This window comes from Homo sapiens, chromosome 20, assembly GCF_000001405.40.
Source record: "Homo sapiens chromosome 20, GRCh38.p14 Primary Assembly".
NCBI classification, from domain to species: domain Eukaryota; kingdom Metazoa; phylum Chordata; class Mammalia; order Primates; family Hominidae; genus Homo; species Homo sapiens.
This window is the reverse complement of record NC_000020.11, coordinates 58,995,134-59,015,757: the sequence shown is the minus strand read 5'-3', so window position 1 is coordinate 59,015,757 and position 20,624 is coordinate 58,995,134. Positions and strand designations below refer to the sequence as shown.

At 55.5% G+C, this 20,624-nt stretch overlaps 1 protein-coding gene across 1 annotated transcript, besides 9 other annotated features; it reads left to right on the top strand.

Annotated features, from left to right (window-relative positions):
- Positions 7,251-7,330: an enhancer, noted in NCBI's record as "active region_18186". NCBI's record gives its function as "activates an Ori minimal core promoter by ATAC-STARR-seq in GM12878 lymphoblastoid cells {active_cell/tissue: GM12878}" and the evidence as "EXISTENCE:reporter gene assay evidence [ECO:0000049][PMID:35858748]".
- Positions 7,471-7,580: an enhancer, noted in NCBI's record as "active region_18185". NCBI's record gives its function as "activates an Ori minimal core promoter by ATAC-STARR-seq in GM12878 lymphoblastoid cells {active_cell/tissue: GM12878}" and the evidence as "EXISTENCE:reporter gene assay evidence [ECO:0000049][PMID:35858748]".
- Positions 7,601-7,760: an enhancer, noted in NCBI's record as "active region_18184". NCBI's record gives its function as "activates an Ori minimal core promoter by ATAC-STARR-seq in GM12878 lymphoblastoid cells {active_cell/tissue: GM12878}" and the evidence as "EXISTENCE:reporter gene assay evidence [ECO:0000049][PMID:35858748]".
- Positions 8,221-8,820: a silencer, noted in NCBI's record as "silent region_13086". NCBI's record gives its function as "represses an Ori minimal core promoter by ATAC-STARR-seq in GM12878 lymphoblastoid cells {active_cell/tissue: GM12878}" and the evidence as "EXISTENCE:reporter gene assay evidence [ECO:0000049][PMID:35858748]".
- Positions 8,221-9,252: a biological region, named in NCBI's record as "H3K27ac-H3K4me1 hESC enhancer GRCh37_chr20:57581561-57582372".
- Positions 8,441-9,252: an enhancer, noted in NCBI's record as "H3K27ac-H3K4me1 hESC enhancer chr20:57581561-57582372 (GRCh37/hg19 assembly coordinates)". NCBI's record gives its function as "activates a minimal SCP1, AML or CMV promoter by ChIP-STARR-seq in naive H9 embryonic stem cells {active_cell/tissue: H9 hESC(naive)}" and the evidence as "EXISTENCE:reporter gene assay evidence [ECO:0000049][PMID:30033119]".
- CTSZ (cathepsin Z) lies at positions 8,504-20,573 on the top strand. Its single transcript, NM_001336.4, has 6 exons — positions 8,504-8,772; positions 9,273-9,436; positions 14,114-14,293; positions 18,005-18,155; positions 18,957-19,119; positions 19,999-20,573. The coding sequence occupies exons 1-6, from the start codon at positions 8,630-8,632 to the stop codon at positions 20,107-20,109; spliced, it is 912 nt and encodes a 303-aa protein (NP_001327.2). The 5' UTR covers positions 8,504-8,629; the 3' UTR covers positions 20,110-20,573.
- Positions 10,401-10,710: an enhancer, noted in NCBI's record as "active region_18183". NCBI's record gives its function as "activates an Ori minimal core promoter by ATAC-STARR-seq in GM12878 lymphoblastoid cells {active_cell/tissue: GM12878}" and the evidence as "EXISTENCE:reporter gene assay evidence [ECO:0000049][PMID:35858748]".
- Positions 10,951-11,010: an enhancer, noted in NCBI's record as "active region_18182". NCBI's record gives its function as "activates an Ori minimal core promoter by ATAC-STARR-seq in GM12878 lymphoblastoid cells {active_cell/tissue: GM12878}" and the evidence as "EXISTENCE:reporter gene assay evidence [ECO:0000049][PMID:35858748]".
- Positions 11,021-11,070: an enhancer, noted in NCBI's record as "active region_18181". NCBI's record gives its function as "activates an Ori minimal core promoter by ATAC-STARR-seq in GM12878 lymphoblastoid cells {active_cell/tissue: GM12878}" and the evidence as "EXISTENCE:reporter gene assay evidence [ECO:0000049][PMID:35858748]".

Sequence of the window (20,624 nt, the reverse complement as noted above, 5' to 3'; positions counted from 1 at the left end):
GCTTTGATTCTTGTATCGCCGGCCATGTTAATTCAGGCCAGGCGAGTGCTGAGCTTTGGACGCTGGGCTGTGAGAGGGTGAGGGACGGAGTGGCAGCTCCGCCACCCAGGGGCCCATCTCCGCCCTAGACCTGAACTTTTTCACGTGAAAAATGAAATAAAAGTCCCCACGTCACAAGTCGGTGTGAGGACTGGGCCTGCCAGGGCTGACCCCTAACGTGTGGCTGCCGGTGGTATTTTTCAAGTGGGCTTCGCAGGGTGGGAGGGGGAGATGCATTCCACACCTACAGACGGAGCACCTACTGTGTGGCAGACTTGACATGGCCGTGGACATCGGGGCCTGTCTCAATTTAAAATGTCTGGGCAGAACAGAGTGGCAGGAAAGGCAGCAGGTCTGGAAAGCCGTGCGTCCCGTCTCAGCTCTCTTGTCCTTGTTTCTGAAGGTACCTGCTCCCCAGAGGAAACAGCTCTCCTCTGATTGCCACCTTAGTGCCAGCAGTGAGGTGGGGAATACAGTCTGCCTTGCCCTCGGACTGGTAGAAGCGGGCCCTGTGCAGGACATAGGCGAACACTGCCCCTGGAGATGCCGGCACGACCCCAAGGTCTGTTTTGCCAGGCTGAAGGTGACGGCCCCCGTCCTGAGCTGCAGCAAGCGATTCACAGTGGCCACTGTGATGAGTGACAAAGTTGTTTTCTGCCCCCCCAACAAAGGGCTGTGACCAAGGCAGGTTAGCAGTGCCTGCATTTAGGTGAGGAGATCAGCAAGCATTGCCCCAGAGGGCAGGAGCTTCCTCCTAGCAAGTGTGGTGAGGACGCTATGGCCCACAACACTGAGATTCCCAACCAGGACCAGCCCAGCCCTGAGCCTGAAACCCTCTCCTCCAGTGGCCTGTCACAGCCATCCACAGAAGGCTCCGCAGCAGCAAGCCTTTTCCTGCATGACACTTGCGTCTATTACAGAAATAGAACCGGGAAGATAAGAAAAACCAGTGTCACCCAGAAACCCCGAATCGGCTGCTTCCAGACTTCCCCCAGGAGTTATCCCCCAGGGGTCAGATGGAGCTGCCCCCACCCTCCATTTGGCAAATGAAATAGAATTCAGAGAAAAACAGAGCACTCAGAGAATTCATTGATTTCATCCGCCCCGATCTTCCACTTCTGAGTGCGTTGAAGTTCCCTGAATAACTCAGAGAAGATTGTTGAATTATACTGTTTGCGTGTGATTTAGAACCAGGAAATTTTTCCAAATGTCTTAGCAAGAAAATGACATCTGAGGGGCCATTATGGGTGACTCAGCGGGTGTAGGCAGCCCGCCAGAGGAGCTGAGCTCCACTTTCTTGTACCCTGCTCGGTGTGTGTTCTCTTACTGGAAAAGAAAGTTCTAGGAGGATGAGTAACTAACTACAAGAGGAGAGAGACTAGGAGGACATTGCTGGTTTTCGCTGAGCCAGGAGTGTTAACCTTCTTCCCCCACAGCTGAGATGCTCATGGTTCCTGTACCAGGCAGACTCTGGCTGCTCCTCACACCTGTCCAGCCTCCAAGCCCAGAGGGTGGAAACATCTTGCTGTCTCTCCAGGTGCACTGGTGAGCAGCATGCAGGCTGTGGCAACTCTGATTTACAGGAGATAACACACACACGCGCGCACACACACACCTACCACCACCACCACTTCCCCTGAACTGCGCGAAGATCTAAGAGATGGACACATGAACCTTCTCACTTGCATCTTTCCTGTCTCCCGAAGTTGCAGCTAGTGATAAGCGATGTTCTGTGGCATGAACAGATAAGCATAAAATGGGTCAGCACCTGGAGCTGAAATTGAACAAAAATATGTACTTCTTCAAGCCCAGTGTTTGTCCAAGAAATCTCGGATATATTAGTTTTGAGGGACCTCAGAAAAGTAGAAAATATGGGCCCTGCCCTCCAGGGACTTAGAGGGTGAAAGCAGCACTAGCCTCCCGCTCTGCCGGTCTTTACCAGTTTCTCTGCCGCCGCCACCGTCTCCCACATGCTCCCTCGTTTAGCCTGCATGACACCACCACCTTCAAGAAGAAACTAAGGCTCAGAGAGGAATTGACATGTTCAAGTCTCAGGATAATGTGGCAGAACCAGAAACGGATTGCAGGTCCTCAGACACCTACATCCAGGGGTACAATTCAAGGGGCCAAGAGGCAGGCTCCAGGAGCCCGGGGTGCTCACGTCCCCTGCTCCTCACTCTGTAACTGCATCCTGCAAGTCCTGCTCCCAGGTGGATGTCCTGATGCATCTACTCTCCCCTTCTCTCAAACAGCATTCCTCATCCATCACCTGTGGCTCTCCCCTCCAGGGCCCTTCCTGTCCCACAGCTGACTCCACTCACAGCATCCTTCCCACAGTCACCAGAGGGATCTTACAAACAGAAATCAGCTCTCAGCCACTGCCCTCCTGGAAAGCCAGTGGCAACCGGGAGAAAACCCAAACCTCTTACAAAAGGAAGGCCGATGTGTGCCTTCAGATCTTCCAAAATGCACACGCCCCATGAGACAGGGATGGGAAACCCGCTGGGCAGGGAAATTAGGTGGGGGATGAAGGAGGCCAGCAGAGCCTCTGTCAGATGGCAGAAAGGGGAGGGAAGGGGAGAGGTGGGCTGGCCGTGTGAAGCTGGCCTGAGTGCCCGCATGGTCCCTGCAGCTTGGAGGCTGAGCCCACCTGTCCGCAGCCTCCCCAAGGGCTTTCCCCAGTGCATCACACACTTACCCAGTGCACTCACATTCTCAGGCCTCTGCAGACACTCTTCCTTCTGCTGAGTCTCCTTCCAGCACCTTCCATGACTGTCATTATTCAATCCCAACTCACTGGATACCTAAAAGAATGGTCCCAGACCAAACTTCTCCAGAGACCCTCCGTCTCTCCTGTTCCCCGTTTTAACTGTTTGCAAGCACTTCCTACCTCCTGAGCATTTTACTTTTCCACATGTTCCCTTATGCAGAAAACATAAGTCCTTGCAGACAGGGACTTTGTTCACTGCCGAATCCCCGGGGAAGAAAACAGTAGCCTGCACGTACTAGGTGCTCAACAAATATTTGCTGACAGCCTAACTTTAGAGGGCAAACAAATTCAATCGGGTAGTCATTGAGTGCCCCTTTGAAAGACTTCCTGGTGAGTTCATGGGTGGGCTGTGTCTGTTACATGCTGTGCTGCACAGGGTGTGTCCCAAAGGTGATACTGATGAGGCTGCCTTCATCAATGTCAGCCCAAGGAGCCACATCCACTCCCAAGCAAGTGTGCACCACCAGTCACTGTGCAACTGTCAGAGGCGTTTGAACCAGAGCGACTCCATCTTGAATACAGACTGGGTAAAATAAGGCTGAGACCTCCTGGGCTGCATTCCTTGGAGGTTAGACATTCTACATCACAGGATGAGATAGGAGGTCGGCACAAGGTACAGGTCACCAAGACCTTGCCAATAGGCCAGGCACGGTGGCTCAGGCCTGTAATACTAGCACTTTGGGAGGCTGAGGCGGGTGGATCGCCTGAGGTCAGGAGTTCAAGACCAGCCTGGCCAACATGGTGAAACCCCGTCTCTACTAAAAAAAGCCAAAAAAGTAGCCACGCATGGTGGCAGGCACCTGTAATCCCAGCTACTCGGGAGGCTAAGGCAGGAGAATCACTTGACCCCAAGAGGCAGAGGTTGCAGTGAGCCAAGATTGTGCCATTGCCCTCCAGCCTGGGTAACAAGAGCGAAACTCTGTCTCAAAAAACAAAAACAAACAAAAAACCTTGCTGATAAAAGGATGTGATAAAGAAGGCAGCCAAAACCCACCAAACCCAAGATGGCGATGAAAGTGACCTCTGGTTGTCCTCAGTGCTGATTATATGATAATTATAATGCATTAGCATGCTAAGAGACACTCCTACCAGCACCATGACAGTTTACAGATGCCACAGCAGCATCAGGAAGTTACCCTGTATGGTCTACAAAGCGGGGGAACCCTCAGTTCCTGGAATTGCCCACCCCTTTCCAAAAAACTCATGAATGATCCACTCCTTGTTCAGTGTATAATGAAGAAGTAACAGTAACTATAAATAGCTGAGCACCCCGTGCTGCCGCTCTGCCTGTGGAGGAGCTATTCTTTTATTCCTTTGCTTTCTTAATAAACTTGCTTTCACTTTATGGACTTTCCCCGAATTCCTTCTTGCGTGAGGTCCAAGAACCCTCTCTTGGGATCTGGGTTGGGATCCCCTTTCCCATAACACAACCAGGCCAGGATGTGATGCATGGTGGTGCTTGGGGACAGTGGCATGGTGGATTGCAAACCTGGCCCGCCCTATCTGAAGGCCTGCACTGCAGAGATATCTGGGTGTTAGCGAGTGCCTCTGACCCGTTGACCAAGTGGATCAAGAGGAACTCCTGTAGCTGGTGAGGGAACCGTCGTGCCCTGCAAAACCAGCCTAGCCTAGCGAGCATTGTCGGCATCCACCCAAACAAATGCCGGTATCCAGGATGTGGCTAAACTCAGGAATGTGGAATAATAGGAAATGTCTGCAGCTTGCCGGGGTGGAAGCCAGACAATATGGCACAAAGGAAGAAGAAAAAGGATTTCGAGGCCATTCCACAGTCGATGAAAACTCATCTGTGTTCTCCTCCTCCAGGTTGGGAAGGTGGGCCAGCCGTGGCCTGAGTGCTGATCTTTATCAGAATGAGGAGAAAAATCAGCCTTATTTTTAGAAATGAATAGGCTTTTGTGTCTGTGGCCTTGGATCATGTGTTTTCCAGGAGAATTCATGGGGTTAAAAAAAAAAAAAAAAAAAGGGACTGGATTGGAACCTGCCACCCAGGAGCCTCGTGCTGAGCACAGGTCACCTGACATCTCCAGAGGCTCAGTCTTTTCGCCAGTAGAATGGAGTAATAGCATCTGCCTCCCAACCCCCACCCCCACCTCACAGCATTGTGCAAAGGATCAAATGCGGCTGCACAGTCCTCTAGAATGTCATTGGCTCAGCCCTCTGCCCTCAAGCACCACTGGGAGCAGGAATGACTCCATTACCTCCAGGAAGGAAAACCCAGGATAGGTGCCAAGCTTTCCAGGCAAAGTGGTTTCAGGGGAGACGCCTTGCTCTAAATACCTACTCAATTCTGCCCCAAGCTGGAAGGCGGTGGCACACAGCTGCTTATAAAGAGCTGCTAGAAGCAATGCTTAGGCAAGTAGGGCCTCAGAGGTAGGAAGGTCCAAGTGCCCTGCCCCAAGCCTCTTCGGATCCCGGCCCAGATGAGAAGAAGAGTCAGTATCCACAAAACCACCTTGCAGGCACCTGCAGCCAAGTCAGGAGGAAACACCTTTCCGGTTTCCAAGAGTCCCCAAGCTGCTCTGCAGGTGAGTCTGCTTTGAAGAGAGAGACACAGCTCTGGGGCTAAACTCAACCCCCAGCAAGCAGTCCCCAGCAAGAAATGGCTGGGGTGGCCTGTCTATCAGGTTCCCAATGTGCTCCCTCCTCTTTTTCCAGTCCCAGACACCTCCTGGTTTTATCTGTGTGCCCTTCAGAGAACTCCTCCAGCTAAACATCCTTCACTAATAGCAGCACTGGAATTTGAGTTTGGGTGGGTTTGTGGCCATCCCCAACCCCGCCCCCACAAGGAACATGTTTAAGATCTTGCATCGAGTTAAGGGAAAAACAAAAACAACCAACAAAAACCCCAAAACCAAGAAAACCAAAAATCCTATTTAGGATCCTCTGCTGCACGATTTTAGTAACCCCCAAAATGACACAGCCCGCCAGCTTCTCGGAGCAGTCTGGCAGCCAGACATGCATCCACTCGACTAGGGCCAGGTTCAGAGATGAGGAGCCCTGTCTCTGCGTGGTTTGCTGTGTTGGACCCATGAGAAGAGGCTGGAGAGATAAGTCTCATCAGGCCCCCTTCCTTCCTTCTTGGCTTGAAAATGATGATTTCAGACCAGGCGCGGTGGCTCACACCTGTAATCCCAGCACTTTGGGAGGCCGAGGCGGCAGGATCACGGGGTCAGAAGCTCGAGACCAGTCTGGCCAACGTAGTGAAACCCTATCTCTACTAAAAATACAAAAACTTAGCCAGGTGTGATGGTGTGTGCCTGTAATCCCAGCTACTCAGGAGGCTGAGGCAGGAGAATTGCGTGAACCCAGGAGGTGGAGGTTGCAGTGAGCCGATATTGCTCCATTGCACTCCAGCCCAGGTGACAGAGCGAGACTCTGTCTCCAAAAAAAAAAAAAGAAAAGAAAAAGTAAATGATGATTTCAAATGGATAGGCTCCCTCCCTCTCTTCCTGCCCTATTCCATCAGATTCTGATCTTGAATTGCTTCTATGTTAGGGAAACCCAGGGGGCACAAGTTGTCAACTTTGGACGTCCTTTTTGTTACCAGCCTAAAAATATCCTTCCCTTTAACCAACTTTCAATAGGGTAAATCCGGAGAGTCTCCTCTTTGGAACTCCCCAGATAAATTAAGCTTTGTGCCAGCATTTGGGAGCAGGACTGTGAATGTTTATTCCCCTTCCTGACCATCTCACCCCTCCTCCTGACCCCTGTTTGTGAGTTTGATTTGCCAGAGGCTCTGGGCTGAAAGCGGGTGATGTACAGGACTTGTGATGGAGCAGGTGTGGTTGCTGTCATCAGACCCAGCTACATAATTTGCAGGGCCCAGGGCACAGTGAACCTGGAGAGCCCCTCGTTCAGCTCTGCATTACACTTCTGGACTTAGGGCCTCATGTGACTGCAGGGGTCGTGTGCCTGCCTTGCTGACCATGCCTGTCATACCTTCTACATGCGCTGGACCTGCTCGGAGAGTCTCGGGGCATCTTCAGAGCACCCCAGCTCTCCCCATGCTACAGGAAAGAAAAGCTTACACCTTGGGTGCCTTTTCACCCAGATTCAGGGACCAGGGCCCAGGACATCACAGCTCAGGCATCAGAGGCCAAGCACAAGGGGCCCTCCCCTCTCCAGGCTTGTTTCTCATGCTGTAGAATGTGCTGTTGGACTTCACAGTACCTGGATCATAACTATGGGTACCTGGAGGGAGGGGCACGATATCTCTTACCACACAATTTTGTGAGTTCTTAGCTTTTTCTTTAGAAGAAGCCAAAAACCGGCCGCTTTGGTAGATGCCACCTGATGACCTGGCAAGGGCAGCTGTGTCTGGGTTTCTTCCTCACAAGGACCCAGCTCCTATAGTCAGGGAGGCCAGAGGGTTGACATGGGAGGAAGAAAGGCCCCCTCTTGGCAATTCTCTTTCCACTCCTTTTATGCCCAGAGGTTGGGAGGCCTCGCTCCCACCCCCACCGCCAGCTCAAGCTTGGGGACTTCTCCCAGGATGGCCACCCCACCCCGCCTTCTGATGACTGATGGACACTAATGGTTTCCATGAGCGACTTGCCAAACAAATAAGAGACACATCAGTAGGTAGAGCCCCGGGGCCACACTTTGCCTCAGTGACCACTTTTTGGGGAACAAGGACTGAAACTTCTGGGCTGACGAAGCAGCTCTCCAGCCTTGCTCTCCACTCGGACAGTCATGCGGGGATTCCATGGCCACCTCAGCGCTTCCGGGAATGGTCATGGAAGCTTCTGGAAGTCAGGAGGCAGCCACTGTGACTTCCCCTTGCCCACGTGGCACGCTTGGAATGTGGTGAGTGCCACTGAGTATGGAGAGAGTCAGGCAAGCTCATCTGTGGGCCCTGTGCCAAGGGCCCCCAGCAGGGGCCTGTCAGGTCGCAGCCCAGAATGCCGGGCCCTGTTCTTACCAGAGAAGAAGGCCATGGTGTGGGCCCAAGGGCCATGACAAACAGAGGGGCCGCAGGGAGCGAGAAGCCCTCCCCCAGTTACAAAACCACGTCCTGGGGGGCCACTTCTGCTTTTGGTTCCTCATTTGACTAAGAAGAGTTTCGTTAGCAGAAAACCTTTTCAAGGCGTCTTTGGAAGTCACATTGGATAACTCCTGATGCCTGCGCCAAGTGGAATCTTCCTTTGGGGCATTTTCTAGAAGGATCCCTCCTTCCTTCTCTGCAAAAGGGAACCGTCCCCCCGAAAGGGCCTGGGCCTTTGGGAAAAGGGGTTTAGAAAGCCAGGCGCGGGGACCCTTCTTTGGGGGCGGTGGCCGCATCCCAGGATCCCTTCCTAGGGGAGGCCTGGGCCCAGATGTGAGGCTGGGGGCCTCTCCCCAGGGCTCAGGGCCCCAGGAATGCAGGGCCAAGGGGGCCCATGAGCCTGCGGCCCCCCACCCCGAAGCCAGGAACCCCGGCAAATGAGTCCAGCCGGACAGTCCCGCGCTCAGGGCGGCGGCCGGCGGCGGGGTCAGGCTGGGGTCTGCCCGGCGACCTCGCGCCTGGCCCGCGAGTTCAGGTGCCCCGGAGCCAGGGAGGGAGCGGGGCGCGGAGCCGGGCGGGGAGGGCAGGGGTCACCGGGCGGGGCAGGAGCAGCGATGGGACAGCCCCGCCCCGGGGGAGTGTCCCGGCCTGGCCGCCGCAGCCTTAAGGGCCGGGCGGGGCAGGGGCCCAAAGTGCGGGGTCGGCCGGGTGCTGGGCCGAGGCCGAGGCCGGGGCGGGATCCAGAGCGGGAGCCGGCGCGGGATCTGGGACTCGGAGCGGGATCCGGAGCGGGACCCAGGAGCCGGCGCGGGGCCATGGCGAGGCGCGGGCCAGGGTGGCGGCCGCTTCTGCTGCTCGTGCTGCTGGCGGGCGCGGCGCAGGGCGGCCTCTACTTCCGCCGGGGACAGACCTGCTACCGGCCTCTGCGGGGGGACGGGCTGGCTCCGCTGGGGCGCAGGTGGGCACCGGCGGGGAGGCAGCCCTGGGGGGACGGGAGGCCCATCGCCCGGGCCAGGCGCGCGCTCTGCCTCCTGGGGGCCCTGCGTCGCCAACAGGCCTTGGAAGGTCAGATCCAGCCGCTTCGTTTTGGGGGTCGCTCCTTCTCTTCCACATCCAGGGTGAGCCCTGATGTTTGTGGGGTTGGACAAGCCCCACCTGGCCAGAAAGCCAGGCCAGCCCCACCTCCTCGGCCTCTGGGGGTGGCCCTTACGGCGCGGCATGGCTGGGGGAGCAACCCGGTTCCCTCCTTTCGGGGGTGCCCTGCCTCCTTCACATTCTGAGAGCGCTGGAGCCTCCTAGTGTGAGGTGGGCCCACACCTGGCTCACCTCTGGTGATTGTGGCCCCACTCCCATGCCCTCAGGTGTTGGGAAAGGCGGGAGGGCCCTACCGAGGGCTTCCTGGGCCCACGGCCCCCGGGAGCCCCAGCACCGATCTGGGTGGGGATGATCTCTTCTCAGCACATACCCCCGGCCTCATGAGTACCTGTCCCCAGCGGATCTGCCCAAGAGCTGGGACTGGCGCAATGTGGATGGTGTCAACTATGCCAGCATCACCCGGAACCAGCACATCCCCCAATACTGCGGCTCCTGCTGGGCCCACGCCAGCACCAGCGCTATGGCGGGTGAGTGGCCGCCCTTTGACTGTGGGCCAGGAAAGCCCATCCCGGCTGCCTGTTTATAGGCCCAGGCAGCTCAGCCCGCGGTTCCAGGGGCCTGTGATTCAAGGCCAGGTCAGCCTGGGCTGGGGTGCTAAGGCCGAGGAGCGCGGGCCTTTGCCCTCTGCTGAGGTGACCCAAGCTGGGTCATTCTGGGGCTTTTGGGTGACAGGCAGGACTAGGACTGAATCCCAGTGACAAGTGGCTGCCAGGTGCCCTCTCTCCCCCAAAGCTTGTGACCTCAGCCATTGGGATAGAAACAGAAATGCAAAATCACTGAGTCCCCAGGCTGTATTTGAGGATACAGAAGTAAACTGCTTCTCAGCACAGATGAAAGCCTGTCCTGGGCTTGGAATATTGGGTGAGGCTAGTTGGCTACAGCCCATGGCCTAACCTGGTCACTACCTCCAGCCTGGTGGGTTTCTATCTTAGGCTTTTGGCAGGAGTAGGGTAGGGAGGCTCTTAGCAAAGAGGAAGGGGAAACTAAGGCCCTCCCTATCAACGAGGCTGCTGCACCCTGCTTTGGGAGAGAAGGCGGGAGAAGGGACAGCTGCAAACCAGCCCCAGGCCCACCCCACAGCATTTGGAAGGGACTCTGCTATCCCCTCTCCAGTCACAGCACAGGGTCCAGGAGCCTGGATTTCCCCTGGAGATGGGACTTGCGTGGCCTGGGAGTTTGGCCCATGAGCACTGTGGTGCTGTTGCCTCTTCCCTGGCCTTGGTCCTCATGGGTCAGGCCTGCTGTACACCCATGTGAAAAGGATAGACTACAGTGTGGCTGCCGCTGTGGGCCAAGGCTGGGGGACATGCGTTTGCGTGTGCTCCATCTCACTGACGCCTCCTCAATGCCATGATTGCTTCCAGTTTGCAGATGAGGAAGCAGGCTTTTTGCAGAGAGATGGGGAGGCTTGAGCATAGTGTGAGTGACAGCTGAGATTTGAGCCCGGAAGCCTGGGCTTTGTGCCAGGATGTCTGATGGGCTCAGTCTTGTGAATGAGGGGTTCTTGCTCTGGGGGTAGGGTCTGGACCCCAGAGCCAGCCAGCTGAAGCTGTGGCATCCGTGGCGTCTCCCCCGGGGGCTGGAACACACTTCTGATCGTTCAAAGGTCCCTTTGATGTGGATGGAGCTGGAAGGTCTGGGAGACCTTGGGCGGGCTGCAGGGTGTGGGTGGGGCTAGAGGCAGAGGACTGGGCAGAGTCTAGGGGAAGTGTCCAGGCCTGGCACCCGCTGAGGAAGTGAAAGAGCCTTTGAGGGTGGGGTGAGGGTGAGGGGAGAATAGAAAGGTCAACAGGTGCCTGTGGGAAGCCTTGAACTCTTTGAGAGGGAGTCAGGTGACAAGATGTGCGTCTGTGAAGGACTGCGGGTAGAAAGGAGATGGCTTTCAGATGGATGTGGGACCCTGGCCAGGGGTCAGCCCTGCCGCATTTCCCCAGGGGACTCTCTCTGGGCGGATGACTGCTTCACCCCACTTTCTCCTGAAACCTCCTTCTCAGCGCACCCAGGCCCAGGCACTCGCTTCCTCTTTCACTGAGGAATAGAAGCCACCAGAAGGGGACTTCCACGGGGCCCTGGCCATTTGCCAGCCAAGGCAGCAGGTCCTCCATTTGTCTTCCCTCCTCTCCCCCAGGATCAACTGTCTTGTCCCCTCACTGAGCCCGTCCCTTCCCACTCAGGGAAGCTCTCCCACCTGGAAAAAAGGAACACAAAGCCCCCGGCCCCACCCCGCCCCAATTCTGGGCTCCCTAGGGAAGTATCTGGAGTCCCTCCACTTCCTCTTCTCTACCCTTGAACCCACTCCAGCCTCAGTCCCACCTCTGCCACTCCACCGGCACTGTTCTTTCCACTGCCACCTGGGGCCCACCGTGAAGCATTCTCCTGATCACGTCTCCCCAGGATGCTTCCTTCTCCTGCACCATACTGCCCGCCTCCACCTCCCTGGCCACTCCTTCCCCTCTCCCCAGCTGTCTGCTCCTCAGAGTTCTGAGTGTCAGCTTCCCCAGGACCAACCCTTCACCTGAACTCAGCTTGACATCCACCTGCCCACTCGCCCGCTGTCCCGGTCACCTGACACCTCCAGCCTCAGACCTTCAGGTCTGGATGGCTCCTTCCACTACTGTCACCTGACAGCCCATTTCTTCCCCAGTCCTCCCTGGCTGTCCTTCCGGCTATGCAGGCAAAAGCCTGGACTGGTACCCGACTCCTCTGTTTTCTGTCCCTCATATAATCCACCCACAAGTCTTGTCGGTTCTACCTTCGAAGCAGATGCAGAAATCACGCACCGCCCACCGCCTCCTCCAGGTCTAAGCCACACCGCCCCACTGCCGACTGCCCTCACTGGTCTCCTGGCCTCTGCCCCTGAGGCCACAGTGAGCCTGTGACAACCCATCAGAACATGTTCTTTGGCTTGAAACCCTCTCAGGATTCCACTCAGATAAAAGACAGAACCCTCTGGCCTTCAAGAGCCTTCACCATCGGGCTCCCTCCCAGTCCGCCCTTGCTCCCCTGCTCCTGCGGAGAGTGGAGCAGGGAGGTAGCTTCTCCCACCAGGCACCTCCTCTCTCCCTGAGGTCCCATGGCTCCCTCCCTCCCTCCTATGGATGTCACCTCAGCGGGGTCTTCCTCAGCCACCCTATGCATATGACACCCCACTTCCTGAATTATCTCCCGGATTTATTTTTCTTCATGGTGCTGTAGACTTTGCACAGTTACAGATGCTCCTTGACTTAACTGTGGGGTCATGTCCCGACAACCCCCTCGTAAGTTGAAAACACCATGAGTGGAAAATGTGTTTGACACACCCAGCCTCCTGCACACCCTGGCCTGGCTTTGTCTGCATTAAACGTATTCAGGACACTTGTGTTAGCCCACAGTGTGAGTAATAAGCCCGTTCCCAGATGGGGCTGGTGGGATGAAGGATTGAGTTTGGCCGTGGGAGAAGCTTGTGCATACCTCAGTGAGCTGGTTAGGCCGGGTCCAGATGCTTCAGGCAGGAGTAGACGGAGAGGCCAGAACCGAAACTGCTCATCCATCCGAGCTCTGCCTCTGGGCCAGGACTGCTGTCGCCGGGTTGGGTTGGGCATAGAAGGATAGGGCTCGGGGGCAGGCCATGGGACGCCCTGCACTGCCAAGTGGAACTCCAGAAGCCCAGGCAGGAGGTGCTTCCAGAAGGATGGAGCGACCGCTGTGCTGACTGCTGCCGGAGAGTGGTCAGCTCGGATGACAGTGGAGAAGTGACCTTTAGCAAGAGAGAAAGGGCTGAAGAGGAGCGGGGCAGTAGGGGTCGGGGCACTGTCTCAAACCATTGAGTGAAGCAGAAAACCGTGATAGTGAGTGGGAGGGGCCGGGGGCTTCCTCTGTTGTTGTGAGAAAGGCAAGTTTGGGGTGTGCAGATCTGCTTAGAGGGGGCATAGCTGACAAGGGAGCGGGGAGAAGGAAAGCTGGAGGGAGCCAAGTCCTTGGGAGGAAACAGGATGGAACCTAGGGTGGGTCGGTCAGGTGGGAGGGGACAAACCAGCCACCGGCTGCTCCAGGAAGAGGGTTTGGGGTGCAGAGCATGGGCAGGCTGGGTGGCGGCAGGATGGAGGTCTGCTTTGGGACTTTTCAGTGATGCGTGAAGTCACCAGAGCAGGGACAGTTCCAGAAGGCCCCTGGCTGGGCGACCGGGAGGAGGCCAGGTGGAGGAGCGGACTGTGGGGCAGTGTGGGAGAGTCTGGAAGGTGACAAGAGATGGAGGGGATGTGCAGGTCCAGAGGGGGCTGCCAATGGGCAGAGGGACTCCCTGCTCATTGTGCCCTGGGGGAGGGACAGGTGAGGCTGCAGGAAGAGTTCCGACTTGAACGTGGGGTCAGGAGATGAGGCCTGAGGCAGGTGCAGGGGTGTGTGGCTGTGAAATCATTGTCCTGGGAGGGCAGAGTGAGATGACCCTGAACATGGGCCCGGATTTCCTTCTAGGATCTGTTTTATTGCATTTGTGCATGGGAAGGGAAGCAGGTCCCTCGGTGACCACCCTGAGCTGTCCCTGGCTGCACCTTGGGATTTAGAGCCCAGCCACCTGGGCAGTGAGGGCATGGTCAGCCAGCCGCTGGGAGCCCTCTGCATCCCCCAGTGCCTTCGGGGCTGGGTCCCTGCTGGCCTTCCCCAGCCCTCAGGACCGCATCTGGCCCCTCACTGGGGCTCATGCGGCTCCCTGGGCTATACTCGTTCACAGAGCTGACACCTTGGCCCCCTGTCCACGAGGGCAGGGACGGTCTCTCCTGGCTGGCTTTGGGGTGTGGCCCACTTGCCATGGGTGGCTGAGTCTCTGTCCATTCAGCCCTTCATTCAGCAGGCACTTCTCAGGTGTCTGCAGGGCCAGATGCTGGTGACCGCCTGGCCCTGGCCCTGCTCTCATGGCATTTGTAGCGGGAGGTGTGGCAGACAGGACAGTGCCCAAAGAAGGCCAGGAGAGGCCTCTCTGCAGAGCGACGTCTGAGCGGAGACCTCCATGAAGAGGTCAGCAGGGAGAAGGAGACACAGGCAGCTGGGCAGAGCTGAAGGCAGGCCAGGCTGGGCAGCGCCTGCATCCCGCCTGAGGCGTCCAGGTCCGTTCGGGGAAGTGGGTGGAGAGTGGGTGAGTGCTGACTGGCAGGTGCTGACTGTTGCAGATCGGATCAACATCAAGAGGAAGGGAGCGTGGCCCTCCACCCTCCTGTCCGTGCAGAACGTCATCGACTGCGGTAACGCTGGCTCCTGTGAAGGGGGTAATGACCTGTCCGTGTGGGACTACGCCCACCAGCACGGCATCCCTGACGAGACCTGCAACAACTACCAGGCCAAGGACCAGGGTAGGCTGCTGCCCGTGCCCCCACTCCACCCTCCTGCCCTCCACTCCCTCTTCCACAGGCCTTCGTGGCTGAGGACCCAGCCTGACCCCGTGCTCCTCACATTGGCTGGTGGCTGGGGAGCTGCGGGAGGGCAGAGGTTGCAGCCCCCAGGGGCGCTGGTGCTCTTGACCATGAGGGGTAGTGTTCCCAGTGCCAGCTCCAGCCTCTCGCTGCAGAAGCCCCCTCTGCTATCTTGCACCCGCTTGGGCTGGGGATCAGAAAACTGGACCCCGTAGTCCCTGTTGAGAAGCCCAACGAAAAAGCCTGCTGCAGGAGCGGTCTGAAGAGCATCCTTGGCCATGCGCGCGGTGGCTCATGCCTGTAATCTCAGCACTTTGGGAGGCCGAGACAGGCAGATCACTGGAGGTCAGGAGTTCAAGACCAGCCTGGCCAACACGGTGAAATCCCGTCCCTACCAAAAGCACAAAAATTAGCTGGGTGTGGTGGTGCACACCTGTAATCCCAGGTACTCGGGCAGCTGAGGCAGGAGCATTGCTTGACCCGGGAGGCAGAGGTTGCAGTGAGCCAAGATCGCGCCACTGCACTCTAGCCTGGGTGACAGAGCAAGACTACGGCTCAAAAAAAAAAAAAAAAAAATACCGGCCCTGTCCCCATGTCTCCAGCCTCGTGGAAGAGTGTCTTGCTCCTGTGCCCCTTTGGCTGGGCCTGAATGTGGTGTTTGAGTTCTGACATGCTGGCATTTTGGTGGCTTTTTGGGCCTTTGTAGGGGAGAGGTGTAGGGGGCCTTGTGGAGGGAGAGTTCATTTTCCAGGAGCTTTGGTGGAGAGCAGGTGGGGAGGTGCTGCCCCAAACTGGAAGGAGCCATTGGCTTGGTTCCTGTTCTGGTGACCCAGGGCCCAGGTCCCCCACATTCAGGTGCGGCTACGGCCAAGGGGGTGCTGTGTGGATGAGCAGACCCAAGCTAGCCTGGAATCCCTAGAGCTGGCACATTCCTTTCAGGCTGCTCCCATTAGAAACAGAAGGAAAGAAAAGTCCAGACCCTAATCCCATAATTGGTAGGTTTTGTTTGTTTGTTTGTTTGTTTTTGAGAGGGAGTTTTGCTCTTGTTGCCCAGGCTGGAGTGCAATGGCACGATCTCTGCTCACTGCAACCTCCGCCTCCCGGGTTTGAGTGATTCTCCTGCCTCAGCCTCCTGAGTAGCTGGGATTACAGGCATGCGCCACCACGCCCAGCTACTTTTGTATTTTTTAGTAGAGACGGGGTTTCTCCATGTTGTTCAGGCTGGTCTTAAACTCCCAACCTCAAGTGATCCACCTGCCTTGGCCTCCCAAAATGGTGGGATTACAGGCATGAGCTGCTGCGCCCGGCCATAACTGGTAGTTTGTTTTTTTTTTTTGAGACGGAGTCTCGCTCTTTCGCCCAGGCAGGACTGCAGTGGCGCGATCTCGGCTCACTGCAAGCTCCGCCTCCCGGGTTCACGCCACTCTCCTGCCTCAGCCTCCGGAGTAGCTGGGACTACAGGCGCCCGCCACCGCGCCCGGCTAATTTTTTGTATTTTTAGTAGAGGCGGGATTTCACTGTGTTAACCAGGATGGTCTTGATCTCCTGACCTCGTGATATGCCTGCCTCGGCCTCCCAAAGTGCTGGGATTACAGGTGTGAGCCACCGTGCCCGGCCATAACTGGTAGTTTTAAGCCACCTGACTCAGATCTCCCTCACAGCCAGAGCAGAGAGCTGGGAAAGCCCAGCAGCTGCTTGCTTTGCTGCCTCCACCCCTGCCCCAGGCTATATAGGCTGGCCCCAGCGCCCTGTGCACTCTGAAGTGGCAGAAGGTCCTCTGGGCACCACCCTCTGCCAACGGGGCTCCCTTGCCTTGCCTCTCAGGCCTTATTGTTCAGCCAGAAATTCTCCTGGACTGGCTGAGTGAGTCCTTCGAGAAGGGGGACAGATGGAAGGTGCAGAGGGAAGGGCTATCAGATGGCTCTGGAAGCAGGAAGCAGGTATCAGGTGGTCTCCAGGGCCACGCCCACTCCACGCCAAAGTGCTCTCGCCCAGCTGAGGCCAGGCCCCTCCAACCCACCCAGCCTGACAGGAGCAGATGGAGCTCATCAGAAACCTGATTGTGTGACTGGTGACCGCGGTGGCTCACACCTGTAATCCCAGCACTTTGGGAGGCTGAGGCGGGCGGATCACTTGAGACCAGGAGTTCGAGACCAGACTGGCCAACATGGTAAAACCCTGTCCCTACTAAAAATACAAAAAATAGCCGAGCGCGGTGGCATGCGCCTGTAATCCCAGCTACTCAGGAGGCTAAGGCAGGAGAATCACTTGAACCCAGGAGGCAGAAGTTGCAGTGAGCCAGGATCATACCACTGAACTCCAGCCTGGGTGACAGAGTGAGACTCTGTCTCCAAAAAAAAAAGAAAAGAAAAGAATAAAAAAACCTGATTGCGATAAATAGTCATCTTTGTAGTGTTAGCAAAAGTGTGGCCACACATCCACCATTTTCCCGTAGTACTGGGCACTGGGCACTTGGTGTGCAAGGAACAAATTGAACCAGTGTCTGAGCCTCAAGGTGCTCATGTTCCTGGGGGAGGAATCCCGACAGATGTGTAACTATGACAGACAGGTCGCGCCAAAGCAGCGAATGGCAGGCCGAGGGCCGCCGTGTGGATGGAGTGAAAAGTGGGAACACAGTGACTCTGAGCCTTGCAAAACCGAGAGCTGTACTTTTTCTTTTTTTTAAATTAATTTATAAAATTTTTTTTCTGTAGAGATGAGGTCTCGCTCTGTTGTCCAGGCTGGTCTCAGACTCCTGGTATCAAGCCATCTTCCTGCCTCGGCCTCCCGAAGTGCTGGGATTACAGGTGTGAGCCACCACGCCTGTCCTTTCTTTCTTTCTTTCTTTCTTTTTTTTTGAGACGGAGTCTCGCTCTTGTCGCTCAGGCTGGAGTGCAATGGCGCGATCCTGGCTCACTGCAACCTCTGCCTCCCGGGTTCAAGCGATTCTCCTGCCTCAGCCTCCACTGAGTAGCTGGGATTACAGGCATCCACCACCACACCCAGCTAATTTTTGTACTTTATTAGTAGAGACAGGGGTTTCACCATGTTGGCCAGGCTGGTCTCAAACTCCTGACCTCAGGTGATCCACCCACCTCGGCCTCCCAAAGAGCTGGGATTACAGGCGCCTGGCCCTCTTTATTTTATTTTTTAAGCCTAATTCTTGATAACCTCTTAAGTCGAAATAACCAGAATTTTTTTTTTTGGTCCCCTCAGCGTGGGCACAGAAGAAAATGCTTTTTTGTGGTTGTTGTTACCCAAAGTATTGGCCTATTTATTCACCAGCCAGCAATAGAGACATTTTATTAAGTGCTAATCATTTGATTATGCTCCATTTTCAGCTAGAAAGTATTGTGGAAAGGTCCTTCTCCAGCCATTAGAGGAAAAAGGCGAACTCCTGGGTGCCTACTATGTGCTAATTAATGTCTGTCTCTTTTCTTCTCTGCCAAGGCCTGGGGAAGGGCTTTTCATAACTCCCTGGCAGCTGAAAGAAGAGCGTCATTAAGCAGCACCTAATAGCAAGATGATTTCCGTTCTTAGCTGCTGAGTGGTAGGCTGCATGATGAGAGTGGAGAGTGGGCTTGGCGGGCTTCTTTGTCAGTGGGTTGATGAGGAGACGGCCTCATGCTGACTTTTCTTGCTCTCCCCCAGAGTGTGACAAGTTTAACCAATGTGGGACATGCAATGAATTCAAAGAGTGCCACGCCATCCGGAACTACACCCTCTGGAGGGTGGGAGACTACGGCTCCCTCTCTGGGAGGGAGAAGATGATGGCAGAAATCTATGCAAATGGTCCCATCAGGTGAGGAGAGGTCCCGCGGGCAAAGAGAGGTTTGCGGGTGAGGAAAGGTCCCGCGGGTGAGGAAAGGTCCCGCGGGTGAGGAGAGATCCGCGGTGACAGCGCCAGTGTGGGCTCATGTCGGTGCTCATGTAGGCATCTCCGTCCTTCGCCACTTTCCTTCTGGCCGGTTGTACTCAGTAGGCTCGAGACAGCCACATCATTTCCCCTCTAAGAACTTCAGTTTTCTCAGAGTTAACACTCAGCTGATAGCAAGTCTGCCCCTATGGATGGTTGTGCGGAATGCGGATGAGACGCTCCAAGCTGTACCGAGGGGGCAGTTTCAGCAGGGAAGACACTATGTGAATAACAACAGAAGTTTATCCAGAACCGTCAGATATACACTACCTGAGTCGGGTTTACACTTTGTTGTCATACCAGATTTTTTTTTTTTTTTTTTTTTTTGAAACACAGTCTCACTCTGTCACCCAGGCTGGAGTGCAGTGGTATGATCTTCGCTCACTGCAGCCTTGACCGCCCGGGCTCAAGCTATCCTCCCGCCTCAGCCCCCTCCACCGAGTAGCTGGGACTACTGGCGCACACCACCACACCCAGCTAATTTTTGTATTTTCTGTAGAGGTGGGGTTTCGCCATCTTGCCCAGGCTGGTCTTGAATTCCTGGACTCAAGCGATCCACCTGCCTCGGCCTCCCAAAGTGCTGGAATTACAGGCGTGAGCCACGGCGCCCAGCCATATCAGATTATTTCTAATGACGGTAAATTCTCTCAATTTAAAAGTGGTAATTCTTTAACTGCTTGCTCTCAGCTGTGGAATAATGGCAACAGAAAGACTGGCTAACTACACCGGAGGCATCTATGCCGAATACCAGGACACCACATATATAAACCATGTCGTTTCTGTGGCTGGGTGGGGCATCAGTGATGGGACTGAGTACTGGATTGTCCGGAATTCATGGGGTGAACCATGGGTAAGATGTTTTCATTTTCTTAAGGTCATTCCTAGAAAAAAACGTCCTGGTACTCCTCTCGCTTGAATGGTTCTGTTTACGTTTAGCTAAAAACTGGGGCCTTGACAGAGGGTTCCTTGCTCCAGCTGTCTCAGCCACCGCGCGAGTGGCTTTTGGGGCCAGACCCTTCTCTGACATGCGCGGCTGCCGCCATCCTGTGCACTTTGGGTGTTCAGCAGCATCCCTGGCCCCTCCACCCACTAGGTGACTCCCCGCAATCCCAGTGTGACCAAAACCGTCTCCAGATGGTGCCTGGTGCCCTGGGGAAGTCCCTGTGAGCACTGCTGGAGAGGGGCTCTGCCACCCTCTTCCTTTACAACCAGCTCATTCTTTTTCCCATCATGGTTTTTGGGCTCCCCTAAAATACTGTGTCGGTTTTTCAAAAATACTCGAGTTGGGCCAAAAATCCAGGAGAGAGAAATTAACTGCCAGACCTAGTCTTAGCCATTAATAATTTAAGACACAGAAATTCATGATTAAGAAATGGGGGGAAAGCGGTTCATGTGCAGGTGATGAAATGTCGTCATTTTTTACTAGGTGACTAATGGGGGTAGTAGTAGCTGGAGGAGGCACCAGTCTAGAGTCAACATGTTTTGTGAGATGAATTCACTTCTGGCATAGAGGGCCCTCATGTTAAACATTAACCAAGTGAAATGTTTCACAAAAGGTATTTCAGAACAGGGGTCATGGGAAAGCTGAGGGGCAGCTGAGTGGGCTGTCTGGATCCCCCAAGGCTGGCCTGAGAGATGGAGGCAGAAAGCAGGGGGCAGGGGGCTGACGGCAGCAAGGGGAGCGGGAGACGGCTGCAGATGGGCTGACGCGCGATCCCACTTCTCACAGGGCGAGAGAGGCTGGCTGAGGATCGTGACCAGCACCTATAAGGATGGGAAGGGCGCCAGATACAACCTTGCCATCGAGGAGCACTGTACATTTGGGGACCCCATCGTTTAAGGCCATGTCACTAGAAGCGCAGTTTAAGAAAAGGCATGGTGACCCATGACCAGAGGGGATCCTATGGTTATGTGTGCCAGGCTGGCTGGCAGGAACTGGGGTGGCTATCAATATTGGATGGCGAGGACAGCGTGGCACTGGCTGCGAGTGTTCCTGAGAGTTGAAAGTGGGATGACTTATGACACTTGCACAGCATGGCTCTGCCTCACAATGATGCAGTCAGCCACCTGGTGAAGAAGTGACCTGCGACACAGGAAACGATGGGACCTCAGTCTTCTTCAGCAGAGGACTTGATATTTTGTATTTGGCAACTGTGGGCAATAATATGGCATTTAAGAGGTGAAAGAGTTCAGACTTATCACCATTCTTATGTCACTTTAGAATCAAGGGTGGGGGAGGGAGGGAGGGAGTTGGCAGTTTCAAATCGCCCAAGTGATGAATAAAGTATCTGGCTCTGCACGAGACTGAGGCTGCCCGTGCCTTATTCGCACACAAAAACAATGTCACATCAGGAC

Bases quoted from the DNA above. Each gene is read 5' to 3' on its own strand.
- CTSZ (NM_001336.4), top strand. From the start codon at position 8,630: ATGGCGAGGCGCGGGCCAGGGTGGCGGCCGCTTCTGCTGCTCGTGCTG. The intron at 9,437-14,113 runs GTGAGTGGCCGC...TGACTGTTGCAG, and splicing joins CAGCACCAGCGCTATGGCGG to ATCGGATCAACATCAAGAGG. The intron at 19,120-19,998 runs GTAAGATGTTTT...CACTTCTCACAG, and splicing joins ATTCATGGGGTGAACCATGG to GGCGAGAGAGGCTGGCTGAG.